At 39.4% G+C, this 17,375-nt stretch overlaps 1 protein-coding gene across 1 annotated transcript in view, besides 1 other annotated feature; it reads left to right on the top strand.

Annotated features, from left to right (window-relative positions):
* The window catches only part of KDM5A (lysine demethylase 5A), a 109,264-nt gene that overhangs the window by 66,429 nt on the left and 25,460 nt on the right, over nucleotides 1–17,375 (top strand). The window contains exons 17-24 of the mRNA NM_001042603.3: nucleotides 325–475; nucleotides 1,783–1,897; nucleotides 4,431–4,786; nucleotides 9,698–9,836; nucleotides 11,828–12,007; nucleotides 12,928–13,089; nucleotides 14,887–15,438; nucleotides 15,803–15,946. Of these exons, the coding sequence (NP_001036068.1) occupies nucleotides 325–475; nucleotides 1,783–1,897; nucleotides 4,431–4,786; nucleotides 9,698–9,836; nucleotides 11,828–12,007; nucleotides 12,928–13,089; nucleotides 14,887–15,438; nucleotides 15,803–15,946 (1,799 nt within the window). The remainder of the gene's footprint in view (nucleotides 1–324; nucleotides 476–1,782; nucleotides 1,898–4,430; nucleotides 4,787–9,697; nucleotides 9,837–11,827; nucleotides 12,008–12,927; nucleotides 13,090–14,886; nucleotides 15,439–15,802; nucleotides 15,947–17,375) is intronic.
* Nucleotides 14,984–16,183: an enhancer, noted in NCBI's record as "BRD4-independent group 4 enhancer chr12:415875-417074 (GRCh37/hg19 assembly coordinates)". NCBI's record gives its function as "activates an origin of replication core promoter dependent on BRD2, P300/CBP, MED14 and CDK7 cofactors, and independent of BRD4, by STARR-seq in HCT116 cells {active_cell/tissue: HCT116}" and the evidence as "EXISTENCE:reporter gene assay evidence [ECO:0000049][PMID:35650434]".

The raw sequence follows: 17,375 nt of genomic DNA, 5'->3' as shown, positions 1-17,375 counted from the left end.
ACATAAAATGGGCCGGACATCTGACTTGCAGTAAATTTATTATGTATGTTGGGAACCCACTATTACCAGTAAGACTGACACTGAAGGCTTCTTTGGAAAGAGAAATTTATTTACCTGAGAGAAACTGTCTATAGGGATTATAAATGAGCACCTGGTTGTTAGCTTTTATTGTGTTGGTGAGATTTTCACAGCTGTTTGTTTCTACTAATTATTATATTTCTACAAGTAGGTTGGGGACTCACTTGAGTGAGGTTGGTGAAGATTTTAGAATGGCTTTTTGTGTCTATGGTTATTGTATATGGCTCTTTATTTAAATTTTTACAGATTTGATTGAATTGCGAGTAATGCTGGAAGATGCTGAGGATAGGAAATACCCAGAGAATGATCTCTTTCGAAAACTCAGGGATGCTGTAAAAGAAGCTGAGACCTGTGCTTCTGTGGCTCAGCTGCTTCTGAGCAAAAAGCAGAAACACAGGTAAACCTAAGAAGAGTTTAATTCTCCAGTGTTTTCCTGTTTCTTTCAGAGTAAAAACCAAAATTTTATCCGGCCTGTGAAGCCGTACATTATCTTTGACCTCTTGTTGCCATGTCTCTTGCTTCCCCAGTAATGCTCCAGTTTTATCTCCTACTATTCTCCCTTCTTTCTTGCTCCAGCCTGCAGTGTTCTTTCTCTTGCTGTTCTTCATACATAGCAGGCACATTTTTGCTTAGGACTTCATGCTCTCTTTACTCTGCTTGGAGTTCTCTTCCCACCGTATCCAGGTGGCTTGTTCCCTTACCTACCTCTTTGAAGCCTTTGTTTTCAAATGTCACTTTGTTGGCAAGGGCTTTTCTGACAAGCCTTTATAAAATTGCAGTCCTCTTACCCTTCTTTGATGCTTTGTTTTTCTCCTAGCTTTATCACCTTCTGATACACTAATCTACTTATTTTATTAATTATCTGTCTTTTCTCCCCCATCCCCTACTAGAATGTACACAAGACTAGAATATCAGGGATTTTTTTTTCATTGCCATATTTCTTGTGCTTAGAACAATGCCTGGCACACAGTTGTGCAATAAATATTTGTAAATGAACAAATAGAAACTCTAGGCTGAAGGCAGGTGGCAGCAAAGGGTAACCTTGATGGATGCAGAGGACCCTTGATATAATAGAATTCATAAGTATTAAATTTTCTGTGGTATTTAAATGTGTTGTAGTAATTCCAACACATTTCTTCTGTCTGAATGGCTTTTCTCTAGCAGTTCACATTGGGTTTTTAAATTACTTTGTAAATTTTTTATTTACCATTTTGTTAGATAACTTTTCTTAGAGACATTGATCAGCAGCTCTTAACTTGTCATTGGGTCAGTGACCCCACTTGGAGAAACTAGTAAAAGTTTAGGAACCCTCTTAGAAAAATCATGTGCACACAAAATTTTGAAGCACTTTCAGAGGGTTCATTGTCACCTAAGGCAGGTTAAAGGCTCTTTCACATTTTAACCTTCTTGAGATACAGGATTAAGTTTTATCAATGAACTTAATATTCCAACTATGAGGAATTTATGTAATGTTTGAAATGTTTAATACTTGTAGATCGAAGGAACTGTAACTTGGAGAGTTGAATCTTTGAGTCATTAACTGAATAACTCAACTGTTTTGAAGTGGTCACCATTGTGGTGTTATCCTTCAAACACTGGGATTCTAGGATTGCTTAGGTTTGAATTCTGAAGAGACTAGGAGCCCTTTTGATATCAGAATGACTGAATTTTTCTTACTTATATCTCAATATTATTTCACATCAGACAGAGCCCAGATAGTGGGAGGACTCGGACCAAACTGACAGTGGAAGAATTGAAGGCCTTTGTCCAACAACTTTTTAGTCTTCCGTGTGTCATCAGCCAAGCTCGGCAAGTAAAGGTGGAGTATTACATCCTTTTTTTGGGTAATGTCCTTTGTGACATGGTCCACTGTTCTGGGTTTCACAGAATGGTATATCTAAACTAGTTTTTTGCTCTGATTTTTTTTTTCTCTCACATATATGCTGCTATTTGAGGTTCTTTAGTAGGCAGTTTTTTGGTTTTGTTCTTAGCCATTATTCCCCATTTAAAATTCTGTAACTAAGGCTGGTATGAAATTATTTTTTTCTATATTAATTTTAGTTCAGAACCCCCATTTAACATAGATGTAATTGAAATGCAAGAAGTTAGTTAAAATAATCTGCATGTATCAGTGTTAATAATACGTGAGCTTTTAAAAAGCTTAATGATCGCTTAATGAATATGTAAAATCTTAAAAGTATGTATCAAATATATTAATCTCCATAGTTAATGATCTTTTGATAGTTTGGGGTGTTTTTGTGTTTGAGGGGTGGGTAGGGTGTCTAAAATAGTGTTTTTTATTTTTGTTTTTGTTTTTGAGATGGGAGTCTCGCTCTGTCGCCCAGGCTGGAGTGCAGTGGCGAGATCTCGGCTTACTGCAACCTCTGCCTCCTGGGTTCAAGCGATTCTCCTGCCTCAGCCTCCCGAGTAGCTGGGATTGGAGGAATGGGCCACTATGCCCAGCTAATTTTTATAGTTTTAGTAGAGGTGGGTTTTCGCCATGTTAGCAGGCTGGTTTCAAACTCCTGACCTCAAGTGGTCCACGCGCCTCGGCCTCCCAAAGTGCTGGGATTACAGGCATGAGCCACCGCACCCGGCCTAAAATAGTTTTTATCAAGGTTATCAACTTGTAGAATCTATGGTCAGTTGTGTTCTTGTCTTACTCCATTTCATAAGAGCATTTTGATAGTTGACTACTCTTTCTTGAATGCTGTTCTTTAAGCCCCTGTGACACCACACTTTCTGGGTTTTTTCTTAGCTCATTGGCAGTTCTTCTTCTCTTACGTCTTCCTTGCTGCTTGTTTTCTCTTCGACTTGACTTCTAAGTGTTGGAGTATATTAGGAGTCTCGGCCCTTTCTTCAGGTGCCCCCACTTCTGATACCTTATTTGCCCAGTGACATTAAATATCACCTATATCCTGTTGATTCAATCCCACATCTCCAGCCCTGGATGCCTTTTTTCCCTGCAGACTTGTATGTCCAGCTGCATACTCTGGATTTCCATTTGGTGGACTAAAAGGCATCTTAAAGGCTTTTTTTCTTTTCTTTTCTTTTCTTTTTGAGACAGCGTCTGGCTCTGTCATCCAGGCTGCAGTACAGTGGTATGGTCTCGGCTCACTGTAACTTCTGCTTCCCAGTCTCAAGCAATCCTCCCACCTCAGCCTCCCAAGTTGCTGGTGCACTATAGGTGCACACCACCACGCCTGGCTAATTTTTGTATGTTTTGTAGAGACGAGTTTTTGCCATTTTGCCCAGGCTGGTCTCAAAACTCCTGAGCTCAAGCGATCCACTTGCTTTGGCCTCCCAAAGTGCTGGAATTACAGACATGAGCCACCACGCCTTTTAATGAACCAAGTGAATCAAACTCCTTGATTTCTTTATTTCCCTTATACCCCGTGTTCAATATTTAAACAAGTGCTGGCTGCTATTACCTCCAAAATATATCCCAAAGCAAACCGTTTATTGTCCTCTCCGTTGCCTAAACTATGCTCTACACCACTGGAATGTGCCCCTTGGATTACTCCCAACAGCCTTTCAGCTGCTTTCCCTTCTTTTGCTCGTCTGACATTTTATTTTTTGTTTGGTAGCCAGAATGATAATCTAAATTTTAAATCAAATCACATCACTTCCCTATGGTAAAAATTCTCCAGTGGTTCCCCAAAGCCATTTGAATGAAATTCAAACTCATTGTAACCTAGAAGATACTGTGTAGTCTGACCTCTGCTTATTTTTTAACAACATTTCTCCATCATCATCCACTTGTAGCAACACACCAAGCTCATTCTTCTTTAAAAGCGTTTGCAATTATTATTTGCCCTGCCCGAACCGTTCTTCCTTCAGATCCTCTTGTAGTTCCTCCCCAACCCTCAATTTAGTTTCAGTTTGTCTTCTGTGACTACCAATGACATTACTAAGTAATATGCCCTTCCCCACTCTGGTCATTCTCTGTTGTGCTGCCCTATTTTATTTTCAGAGCGCTTGACACTAACTGAAACATTTTATTCCTATGTTCACTGTCTGGTCATCTGCATTAGAATGTATGTTCTCTGAAGACAAGGACTATTTTATGTCTTCTTTAATACTGTGTGCCTAGAAAAGTGCCTGCATCTAAGTCAGCAGTCATTAAATATTTATTGAATGAATCAACTATATTTTAAAAGTAGGAGAATAGCTAGAAGTAATTACACAAAAGCATATTTATTAATTTAACTGTCATATCTGAATATTTGGTGTTATGATGGTGAGATTATAAGAGTCTAGAATTGATAGTTTGCCTTGACTATGTCTATTTCATACTCTTTTGTATGTTTTAAATTTGTTTTTCTGATTTTTATTTCTTTTGACCTTTTCAGAATCTGCTAGATGATGTGGAAGAGTTTCATGAACGTGCTCAGGAGGCCATGATGGATGAAACCCCAGATTCTTCCAAACTCCAGATGTTGATAGATATGGGCTCTAGTCTCTATGTGGAACTCCCTGAATTACCACGACTGAAGCAAGAGCTACAACAGGCTCGGTGGTTGGACGAAGTAAGACTGACCTTATCAGATCCGCAACAAGTCACTTTGGATGTCATGAAGAAGCTGATAGACTCTGGGGTAGGGTTGGCACCCCACCATGCTGTGGAGAAAGCAATGGCTGAACTACAGGAGCTCCTTACAGTCTCTGAACGATGGGAAGAAAAGGCTAAGGTCTGCCTACAGGCAAGGTGAACACATTTTGGTGACAGTTGCCTCTTTAACAACTAAGTCAGAAGGTAGAGTGGGAAGAAGGAACTTAAAAGCTTATTTCATTAAATGACTTTTTTTTTTTTTGCGTTTAGGATTTTAATGTATAAGTAGCATTAGTTAAGTTGTGTAGGTGGGAAAGGTATTTCCTGATGATCCAGGGCCTGAAGGAAACCGGGAGATTCTCCTCTCTCCCTGCTTTGGCAGGCAGCTCCTGGAGAGGTGCAGCTCCCGGAGAGGTGCAGGTCAGTGGCAGTGGGTACAGACAAGCTGGAGAGTTTCTTGCTGGGCAGGAATGCCCACAGGCCATGCCTTCTTCAACCCTCAGAGCACCTCATTGTGTCTGGACCCACGCATGGGGTAGCGTTGCTAGAGAGTGGAGAGTGGGTTCTCCTGGGTCTGGCTCCGACAACTGGTTTTCTGTGATGACATTAAATATTTAATTAAATGTTTTGTGCCTTCCCTGGCCAGTCGCTAAGTTATCAAATGGGGCTACATGTAGACCGTTTCAAATATGTGCAAACTATTGTGCAGAGTACTTTGTTAGGTACTTCATGTTATACACAGTAGTATTTTGTTTAGAGCCTATGCTTAGTGATACTATAGTTAGGAAGTAAGAAGTATAAAGCTCATTGTAGTACCTTATTAATGTTAACCGAAAGGTAAGGAAAAATATTACAGGGATTCAGAGGGGGAAGATCATGGTGAGCTTGGGTGGTCAGTAGAGAAGCTTCAGAGAAAAATAAGAACTTAGGTAGAGCCTTGAGGAATGAGTAGGATTGAAGTGGAAGGGAGGTAAGAGAAATTTCAGAAACTGAGTTTAAGGAATATTTAGGGCGTGTTCAGGTGACAGAAAATAAGTGGGTTTCCCTGGAGTGGAGGATTCATGTCGAAAAGTATTGGGAGATGAGAATCAGGCAGGAGGAGAATGTTGAGTGGCTGTATTAGCATCAGCACCCCATTGGACTTAATGAGATTTAAATAAAGTGTTTATATCTGACTGTATGTCAGCAAATTTGGCTGATAATTAACGGTGGTCCTTGTGAAAGCATTTCTCTAGCAGCTAAGATTAATATTTATATAATTTCTATTGTGAGGATGAGGAAACTGGGGTGCCTGGAGAGATCACATAGTTACTGAGTGACACAACTGAAATTTAAAGTATCTTCCACTTCATTTCAATACCTCTGTGTACTTAACTACTTTGCCAGCCACTTACTTTGGATGCATTTTGGTAAGAAAATATTTAGGTGATTTAATTAGCACAGCTCTGAGAAGCCTCTGTGTACACTGGATATTTTGCTATCCAGATGCCATGCAGAATACATACTAAAATTTATTCATAGCTTTTCCTGTTGGAACTGTTCATATTACTCAGTGTCTTCAGACGAATGACAGTTCCAGGAGGTGGGAACATATTAAGTGGACAAAGCTAAATAACTTTGGAATGTAAAACTATGATTTTGATAAACGTGGCGCACCTGGTAGTAGGCCACCAAATGAAATTTCGTGGTAATAATAGTTAAAAACTTTGTTTTCCCAGTCTCTGATATTTAATCAGTCACCAGGTTCTGATGACTCTGTCTCCAACATGTCTTTCATATCTCTCTTTCAAATTCATTGTCACTGACCTAGTTGTAGTCCTCTTATATTTTACCTTGATATTTGAGTTTGGTAAGTATTGATGGAGAACCTGCTACATGCCAGGTGCTATTTCTAAATGCTATGTAGACAGTAGTGAACAAGACACTCAAAGATCTCTGCTTTCATGGAGCTACCGTTCTAGTAGAGAGAGAGAGAGAAATAAATGAATGAATTTCAAATAATTAGTGTCATGAAAAAAGTAAAACTGGTAAAGAAATAGAGGATTATGTGGTTGGTGGAAATAGTGGGAGTTAGACTCTTCTAACTTCTGTCAGAATTATCTTTCTGAAACACAGCCTTAATCTTCTTGATCTCTTAGTATTGGTTATTAACTACTTACCATTATTTTCTTGAGATTCTTCCTTTGCCTTTGGCCTTCTCTCTACCTCTAAAATAATGGTTTTCCTTGAGATTCTGGCATAGATGCCTTTCTTTTCTCACTCTGTACAGTCTCTCTGGAAATTTCATTTAATTTCTTGGCTCTGTTTGCCTTCTTTATACTGAGTAACTCCTAAATCTTCATTTATAATATAGATTTCTTTCATAAATATCATCCGCCTGTTAGATTCCAGGCGGATGTCCCACAGATACCTGAAAGTCCCTGTATCCAAAATTGGACTCATTAATGTCTTCTCATAGCCTCCTCCTTTGTTTCTTTATTCTTTAAATTATACCATCTTTCACTCATTTGAACAAGCAGGTACTTTGGTAGTTAGCTTTGACTCTTCCCTTCTTCTTTATCCTCAAACTCAGTCATGCTGATTATATTTCCCCAGTGCTTCTCACTTTCTTTCATTTTTTTTTTTTAAGTCTGCATGTGGATTTATGTTATACTCATTCTTTTTCACCCCACCCTGCCTTTTTTTGAGATGGAGATTTGCTTTGTTGCCCAGGCTGGGGTGTGCAATGGTGCCATTTTGGCTCATGGCAACGTCCACTGCCCAAGGCTCAAGCAATTCTCGTGCCTCAGGCTTCCGAGTAGCTGGGATTATAGGTGCATGCCACCATGCCCAGCTAATTTTTTTATTTTTTGCAGAGATGGGGTTTCGCCATGTTGGCCAGCCTTGTCTTGAGCTCCTGACCTCAAGCAATCTGCCTGCCTCCGCCTCCCAAAGTGCTGGGATTACAGGCATGAGCCACTGTGCCCAGCCTTTTACCCTCATTCTTGAAGGACTTTTTTGCGATAGGTGTAAAATTACTGGTTGACAATTATTTTGTCTTAGTACTTTGGATATATCATTCTCTCTGCTGTTTTGAAAAGAATCTTTTCACTTGGACTGCTTGTAGGATTATTCCTTCTTTTTCTCTCATTCCACTCAGGCTGCTGTCGTAGCTTGCCTAGACAAGACAAGCTTGCCTAGAATGTCTGGTCTTACCCCTCTCTAATTCATTCTCTATACTGCCACTAGTACTTTGTTAAAATACAGGTGTAACTTTCACTCCCTTACTTAAATCCTTCTCTAGTTTTCTGTTGCCCTCAGGATGAAGTCCAAATTCCCTAACCTGATTTATAAGGCCATCTGTCATCTAGCCTCTTGCTTAATTATATATCTAGTCTTATCTCTTGCTATTCTTCCTCTTGTATTCTATGTTCCAAACATTGTGATTTTTCCTCTCAGTTCCTCAAACATCTGTGTTCTTTCTCTGCATCTTTGTGCATGTTTATTTTATTCTCCTGTGGAGCACTCTTATTTTCAGCCCATCTCCTGTGGTGTACCTCTACCAACCCTACCCTGCCCCTGGCCCCAGCTTTCCAGATTAAGTCTTGTTCAGAAAGGATGGGAAAGCTTAGACATCACTTTTGGGAAGTCTTCTTTCCCTGCCAAGTCAATTAGGTTCTCCTAGTATGTATTCCAATAGCACTTTTACTTTCATTTATCATTACACTTACCACAGAGCATCATAAACTCCTTATGAATAATCTTCATAAGATTAAAAAGTTTCGTGAGGCTGGGCACAGTGGCTCACGCCTGTAATCCCAGCACTTTGGGAGGCTGAGGCAGGAGAATCACGAGGTCAGGAGATGGAGACCATCCTGGCTAACACAGTGAAACCCCGTCTCTACTAAAAATACAAAAAATTAGCCGGGCGTGGTGGCGCATGCCTGTACTCCCAGCTACTCGGGAGACTGAGGCATGAGAATCGTTTGAACCTAGGAGGCAGCGGTTGCAGTGAGCTGAGATTGCGCCACTGCACTTCAGCCTGGGTGACCCCGAGACTCAAAAAAGAAATAAATGAAAGGTTTCATGAGGCAAGGACTGTCATTTTTGCTCATGAGCAATTTCCAGGACCTAGAACAGTGCCTAACACGTAGTAGGATTCATGGATGATGAACGATTTCAGCCTCAGTACCTTCCCATTGCTTTACATGATGAAGTCCATGGCTCTCAGACTCTGCATCTTTCTTCCTGCCAGATTCCTTTTTCCTGCCCCACTCTTTTTCCACCCAGCCCCTGCCTCCAACCCTCCACATCACCCCCTAATCGCAAACTGAACCATGAATGCTTTTCAAGTGTTTCTCCATGCCTTTGTTCATTATATTCCTGGTTTCTTTAACTTCTTTAACTTTTCGTTTGGACAGAATCATACTAATATAAGGCCTACTTCAAAGCCTTTCTCAACTCTCCTGGGCAGAATTAATCACTGCCTCCCATAACAGTGAGTTTATAGTAATTTGGTTTTAGTTCCCAGTAGAAGCATAATTCTTATCTTCTATTGTGATTCATTGAGGATAAGGTCTATGCTTTATTCATCTTTGTGTAACTAATGTTAATGAATGTAGTTTAAATGTACATTGTCAACATTAATGGATTTCTAGTCTATTGTTTTCTATATTGCTATCCAATGTGCATCTCTGACAATTTCAGGTACTGTAGACAAGTAGAGTAGAGGCAGTCTAGTATAGTGAAAGGATCATGGATCTGACCCTCATTCTGAATCAGTATTTCAGATGTGTCCTTTATTACACTAAATGACCGGGGAAAATAACTTTTCTTTGAGTTAAAGTTTTCTTATCCATAAAAATTTATATTTTATTTTATTATAAACTTATGTTTATACCTTTTCTTATCTGTGAAGTTTTCTTATCTGTAAGATGGAAAAGAAAGATACTAGCTGCTTTGCCTCCCTTATAGGATTGTGGTAAGAATTCAGTGAAATCATGTAAATGAAAGTTCTCTAAACATTCTGAAATGTTACTTAAATGTTGATTTCTCATGCATCCTACTCTGTTTTTATTGTTCTTTTAGACCGAGGCACAGTGTGGCAAGTTTAGAAAGCATTGTGAATGAAGCCAAGAACATTCCAGCCTTTCTACCCAATGTGTTGTCCTTGAAAGAAGCCTTACAAAAGGCTCGAGAATGGACCGCTAAAGTGGAAGCTATTCAGGTAAGAAGACTTTTGGATTATCCCACCTATCAGGTAATGCCTGTTTCATGGATTAATCTTTTAAACTATTAATTCTTTAGAATAGAATAATCATAATACAAACGATCCCTAACTTAGATCGATTTGTGATTTTTAGACTTTATGATGGTGCGAAAGTGATATGCATTGAGTAGAAACTGTGTTTCGAAATTTGAATTTTGAACTTGTGCCAGGCTAGCAATATGTGGTATGACATTCTCTCACAATGCCGGGCAGCAGCACTGAGCCACAGCTCCCAGTCAGTCATGCCGATGTAAGTGTTCTGAGCACCTTTAAGGTAGGCTAGGCTAAGCTGTGTTTCGTATGTTAATTTTATTAAATGCATTTTCAAATTACAATATTTTCACCTTACGACGGGACATAACCCTGTCGTAAGTTGAGGAGCATCTATAAAATAATTCTAGTAAAGTTCACTTACTCTTTCGTCTGATTTTATAATTTAGAATAATTATTACCTACTTAAATATTACTTGTTTTTATTGACTCCTTGCTATGAAAGATGATGGAATTAGTTATTTAACTCTTAAGCAGTAGGGAATTTGTTACCTACTGTATTCTTCAAATTTTTTTCCATGTGCATAAATTACTTTTAAAATTAGAGGCAGAAAAATAAAATGAAATTAACATTTACTGAGCACCACAGTACTCTTGCTACTATTCTAGATGTTTGGGAGCAGGCATGTAAGGGAAGGGTATAAAAATAGGACTTATGGTACAAAATAGGGTATAAAAGTAGAGTCTTCCAAATACATATTTTCTAGTTGGAGAGACGTATTTTACACATCTGTAATTTAAAACAGAATGAAATAAGTGCTAGATAGAGATAAAAGTGTACTCGAATCATAAAAACCGTTAAGCAGCACTTACAGTGTTAAGTATATAAATACTCTTAATTATAGAACTGTACTCAAAAAGAAAACCAACTTCCACTACACTGCTGCCCCCAAACGGAACGTATTCTGGGTGTCAAGTTCTTTTTTTTTGAGACAGAGTCTTGCTCTGTCGCCCTGGCTGGAGTGCAGTGGTGTGATCTTGGCTCACTGCAACCTCTGCCTCCTGGGTTCAAGCAATTCTCCTGCCTCAGCTTCCCAAGTAGCTGGGACTACAGGCGCATGCCAGCACGCCTAGCTAATTTTTGTATTTTTGGTAGAGCCGGAGTTTCACCATGTTGGCCAGGCTGGTCTTGAAGTCCTCACCTCAGGTGATCCGCCTGTCTTGGCCTTCCAAAGTGCTGGGATTACAGGCGTGAGCCACCGCGCCTGGCCTGGGTGTCTTCTCTTTTACTTTCTTTTCTGTTGAGTTTTTCTGGGACCTGCTTAGCTGCCCCTGTTTCTTTTCTGTTTTTTTGAATTATTTCTGTTTTTATCTGGACAGCTTCTATGTTTGATGCGTTTTTGACCTGGCTCAGGCAGTAGTTGTTGTCTTCGAATGTCTGAGAATCTTTAATTGGCTGTTTTATTTAGAATTGAAGGACTAAGTCAATAAGTATAGGTAACTATCATGTGTTTCCTCTGTAATTTCAAAGGGCTGTCTCTCTACCAGGTGGGGTTTCACCATGTTGGCCAGGCTGGTCTCGAGCTCCTGACCTCAGGTGATCTGCCTGCCTCAGCCTCCCAAAGTGCTGAGATTACAGGTGTGAGCCACCACGCCTGGCCTGCTAACTGTGTTTATATATGTCTGTGCTTTAGATTGTCCTTTGAACTGGTTGTTATATCTACTGGTACTCTCAATTAATAAATAAAATCATTGATGACATGTTCATTAAAAAAATAATTTACACAAACTTTAAAAAATAGGACATTGGAAGTTATATTAATTCAAGAGATGGAATTACATTCAAAGAATAATATTTAATAAAAGAACTAACACTAAACTTTGTAAGGTCTTTCAACAGTATATTGCCAAACCCCATAAGAGAACTCAAATTGTGAGAATCTACTTTGGTTTTTCAGAGTGGCAGCAATTACGCTTATTTGGAGCAGCTTGAGAGCTTGTCTGCGAAAGGACGCCCTATTCCTGTGCGTCTTGAAGCACTGCCGCAAGTGGAATCACAGGTAGCAGCAGCACGGGCATGGAGAGAACGGACTGGGCGGACGTTTCTTAAGAAGAATTCTAGCCATACATTGTTACAGGTACTTGAACTTCAACACTCTCATAAGCAGCTGATAATTTAAGTAGTAATAGTATTGGTGAGGGTTATTTTCAGTTTATCTGATTACCATTATACAAGTGATTCTTACTAGGTAATATCAGATGTTGACTTGAAATCTGGAACCTTGGGCAGATTCATTTCCAGTTAATCTTGTGCTGTCCCTAGAAAAAGCAGTCGGCCTTGGCTTGTTATTGGACTCTAGTCATTGAAATCGTTTTGTTCTGTTTTTTTGAGACAGGGTCTTGCCCTGTCGCCCAGACTGGAGTGCAGTGGTGCAGTCTCGGCCCACTGCAGCTGTCGCCTCCTGGGCTCAAGTGATCCTTTCACCTCATCCTCCCAAGTGTCTGGGACTACAGGCATGCTACACCATGCCTGGCTAATTTTTTGTATTTTTGGTGGAGATGGGATTTCATCATGTTGCCTGGGCTGGTCTTGAACTCCTTTGAGCTCAAGTGATGCGCCCGCCTCAGTCTTCCAAAGTGCTGGGATTACAGGTGTGAGCCACCACGTCCAGCCTATCATTGAAAGATCGTATTTCTCCGAAGCACAAATTTGTATATTCATCATCCCTTTCATCTTGAGCAGTTGAACATAGTAGTTAAGAGCAAAGGCTTTGGAATGAGATCCTTTCAGGTTTGAGAGTGGACTCCTTAATTGCTAACCCTGTGTCCTTGGGCAAGTTATTTCCTTCCTGAGCCTCAGTTTCTCTTGTTTATAAAATGTAGATATTAATACCTACTACATAGGGTTGTTGTGAGGAATGAATTAGATCATGTGTATAAAGTCCTTAAGAAAGTGCGTGGGACATGGTTGAACAGTCAACAAATGGTTCCTTTATTATTTTTACTTTTAAGATTATTTTCAAAACCAGAGTTTATAATGGTGGTTTTATTTTTGTAGGTGCTGAGCCCCCGGACCGACATTGGTGTATATGGGAGTGGCAAAAATAGGAGGAAAAAAGTAAAAGAACTAATAGAAAAAGAAAAAGAAAAGGATCTGGACCTGGAGCCTCTGAGTGATCTGGAGGAAGGATTGGAGGAAACCAGAGATACAGCCATGGTGGTAAGAAATTACCTAGCATCTTGAGTTTGCTTGGTGAATACAAAACTCTGTAGAGATATTAGCAGACTCACAGTTTTTATGTTTTTAACTTTTTATTTTCATATACTTTGGCTTTATGATTATACATATTTCACATTAAAAGTAAATATTTATAATCAAGATATACAAAAAGTTTAGTATTCTGCTCTTTTCCCAAAATTGTCTTTTCCATACCTCTGTTCTTTATTGTTGTTTTAATAGTTGTCTGCTGTTCCATCAAGTTGTCCATAGTTTGCTGAGTACAGTAAGTCCTCACTTAATTTTATCAATAGCTTCTTGCACTGCAACTTTAAGCGAAGCAATGTATAATGAACCCACTTTTACTACAGACTGATATAAACAAGAGTTAAGTTCCTGCAGCATATTTCTGGTCACAAAAACATCATCAGACTTTTAAAATAAAGACCCCAAACACTTCTGATATTAAACACTGAGAAAATTCGAGCTAAACCTACATTTAAGAAAGAGTAATAAAAACGAAATAATTATCCAGTTTTTGGTAAATTAGTGAGTGACAGTGGCATTGGCCAGGAATTGATTTTTTTCTCATCAGTGTTATAATGAAACTACACTGAACGTAAAGATGTTATTTGAGGACCTGCTGTAGTTTTCTAATTTTGAGCATTTTGCCTGTTACTAAGTTTCTTATTGTAAGTAATAAAATGAACTTCTTTTATAACCTTTTCCTTCTTTTAAATTTCCTAGACTTGACTCTTAGGAATGTAATTACTGGGTTAGAATTTAATATAAGCATTTTATGACTCTTATTACTATTGTGTTTTTCAAAGGAATTATACCAGGCTACAGATTTCCATCTCTTAATGAGTGTTAAAATATTTGTAGTTGATGAGAATTATGCTTTTTTGGAGGATAGGAGGAATGTGTTAAGATTACTAGGAGCCTGAGGAAATGGAAAATAAATACGAATCTGGACAATAAAAGTAGGGAATTGCATGTGATATAGCTCTTTCTGCCTACAAATGATTCTGTTTTGAAGCCAGTGAAAATATTCTCTGATTAGAGAGCCTGCCTAACAAGTCAATCTTGCTAGACAAGTAGGACTGGAAATTATTTCAAAATTGTTTCAAAGCTGCCAGTAGTTTAACAAGAAAATGCACTGACAGTATTGATAATTAAATTTGTTTGCCTTTATTTACTTTGTTAAAATGAGTTTCATAAAACTCTGTTGTTACAACTGATCGTCAAGTTTTGTTATTCTACTTATACATGAAGAGGCTTTCCAGAGAGAAGTAAATTAATTTGTGTAGGACTTGCCCCAGGGAATGAATTACGAGGTGATAGGAAACTAATACTTTAAGAGTGTTTACCTTGTGCAAGGTACCAGGTTAGGCACTTTCATATGTTATCTTATTTAATCCGTAAAACAGCAAAATACGGTTGGTAGTATTCTCATTTTTCAGAAAACGGACGTTCTGAAACTTGTACCCCATATTAACAGTCTAAAAGTACAAGAGCCAGGCTTTGTACCCAGGTTGCTTGATTTCAAGGCATGCCATCTTTGTACCGCACCCTACAGAAGAGGCCAAAGTACTGTACTGATGTACATGATCAAATATGATAGCACTTTGCCCATTTCACACTTGAGGAATGTTTGCATGGAAACCGCCAGGGGCCCCACATTTTAGGAAACTGTTTATAACTGATAACTTGGGAGAAAGATCCCACAGCCTTGAGGATTTGGTATTTTGGGGGGTATATTGCAGTGACTCTTTTCAATTAAATGTTTGTCTTGTACAGGTGGCAGTTTTCAAAGAACGGGAGCAAAAAGAGATTGAAGCCATGCATTCTCTCAGAGCAGCCAACCTAGCCAAGATGACAATGGTGGACCGCATAGAAGAAGTAAAATTTTGCATTTGCCGCAAGACAGCCAGTGGGTTTATGCTACAGTGTGAGCTCTGCAAAGACTGGTTCCATAACAGCTGTGTTCCTCTTCCTAAATCAAGTTCCCAAAAAAAAGGATCCAGCTGGCAAGCTAAAGAAGTAAAATTCCTTTGCCCTCTTTGTATGCGGTCTCGAAGGCCCAGGCTAGAGACTATTCTGTCACTCCTGGTATCCCTTCAGAAGTTGCCCGTACGGTTGCCTGAAGGAGAGGCCCTGCAGTGTTTGACAGAACGTGCTATGAGTTGGCAAGATAGAGCGCGGCAGGCTCTAGCCACAGATGAACTATCCTCTGCCCTGGCCAAACTATCTGTGTTGAGCCAGCGTATGGTGGAACAGGCGGCTCGAGAAAAAACTGAAAAGATCATCAGTGCAGAACTCCAAAAAGCAGCTGCCAATCCAGACTTACAGGCAAGTTTAGGATTTACATTCTTTTTCTATTTCATGGGATATGTCAGTGTATAAATAGTAAATTGAGTCTGTCTTACCAATTGATTAGGAAAATAACAGTAACTTGTCAGCAATTATCCATTGCATTCTCCTTCAACATACACTATAGCACTTTTTTTGGATACGTACTTAGTGAAATATTCTTGGTAATATCATTCAGGTGGACTTTGGCATCATAATCAAATAATTTGATTTCTACTAACTGTTGAAGAACTCTGTTAGCCACTTTGCTTATTCATTACATTTTGGTGATCTTAAGCACACATTAATTACCCTGTCTGTTTAGCATGTCTTGCTGTTCATCTTGGAATTATTTGTTGTTTAGGGACACTTACCTAGTTTCCAGCAGTCTGCTTTTAACCGGGTGGTGAGCAGTGTGTCATCTTCTCCTCGACAAACAATGGACTATGATGATGAAGAAACAGACTCTGATGAAGACATTCGAGAGACATATGGCTACGACATGAAGGTAGTTACATGGACAAGCTGTGTGGGTACATACCTGATCATTGGGTTTGTTTAAAAAAAAAAAAAGCTATTGAACAGTGATGTTTGAGGCCTGAAAGTGAAAGAGAAAACTAATCATTTATCTGTTCTGAGTTTTTAGTCGTAGCATTTTTTCAAAACTCAAAACATTACAGGTTGCTGAAACAATTTTTTTTTTTTTTTTTGGAGATGGAGTCTCGCTCTGTCACCCAGGCTGGAATGCAATGGCGCGATCTCTGTTCAGTGCAACCTCTGCCTTCTGGGTTCAAGCAATTCTTGTGCCTCAGCCTCCCAAGTTGCTGGAATTACAGGTGCATGCCACTCTGCCTGGCTAATTTTTGTGTTTTTAGTAGAGATGGGGTTTCGTCATGTTGGCCAGGCTGGTCTTGAACTCCTGACCTGAAGTGACCTGCCTGCCTCGGCCTCCCAAAGTGCTGGGATAACAGGCCTGAGCCACCACGCCAGGCCTGAAACAATTTTTAAAAAATAGAATTAAAAAATCTGTATTTGTTTTACTCATCTTATAATCCCTTATGGCTTAGAGGAACTAGAAAAACAATATGTAAAGCTTTCTTGGCCAATTTCAGTTTTTCAGATTTTTTTCTTTGAGTTGTGAAAGTCTGTATACAGTTAAGTTTTAAGAATTCCATTCTAGGCTTGGTGTGGTGGCTCATGCCTGTAAACCTAACAATTTAGGGGAGACTGAGGTGGAAGGATCACTTGAGCCCAGGAGTTTGAGACCAGCCTGTGCAACATATTGAGACCCCCATCTCTACAAAAAATACAAAAATTAGTTGGGTGTGGTAGCACACACCTGTAGTCCCAGCTACTTGGGAGGCTGAAGTGGGAGGATTGCTTTGAGCCTAGGAGGTCGAGGCTGCAGTGAGCCATGATTGCACCACTGCCCTCCAGCCTGGGCAGCACAAGACCTTGTCTCAAAAAAAAAAAAAAAAAAAAAACACTTCCATTGCTAGAGTCTTTTGCTCTGCTTTCTCGTCTGGATGGTGCTAGATAGAATGTCACATTCGGAGATGGGTAATATAATACTTGGGCCCAGGTTAGAATTTGCTGAGTTCCAGTTGCAGATACAACAAATTATTTACCATCAATGTGATTATTTTGGTAATGACACGTTACTGGTGGTGAAGAGAAGGTTTTGACAAGTTTGTTTTGTGTTGGATCCAGTTGGCTTTTCGTTAGCCCTTTTTGTCAGGTGCAAGCCCTTTGCTTTTTAACCTAGTAATAACAATGTGATTAGGCAGAGACCCTGCCAGATTACAGTCAATCCATTGACTTGTTTTATATGATTCTTAGTTGCTTTGTTTAGAATCTATTCTTGTAACCTGGGAATTCCTACTCTGATACAAAAGGCTGCTTCCAGAGAACAAGGGGAGATTCTGTTCCTACCCCTT

This window comes from Homo sapiens, chromosome 12, assembly GCF_000001405.40.
Source record: "Homo sapiens chromosome 12, GRCh38.p14 Primary Assembly".
NCBI lineage: Eukaryota > Metazoa > Chordata > Mammalia > Primates > Hominidae > Homo > Homo sapiens.
Note: the sequence above shows the minus strand (reverse complement) of the source record. Positions and strands in the feature narration are given on the sequence as shown.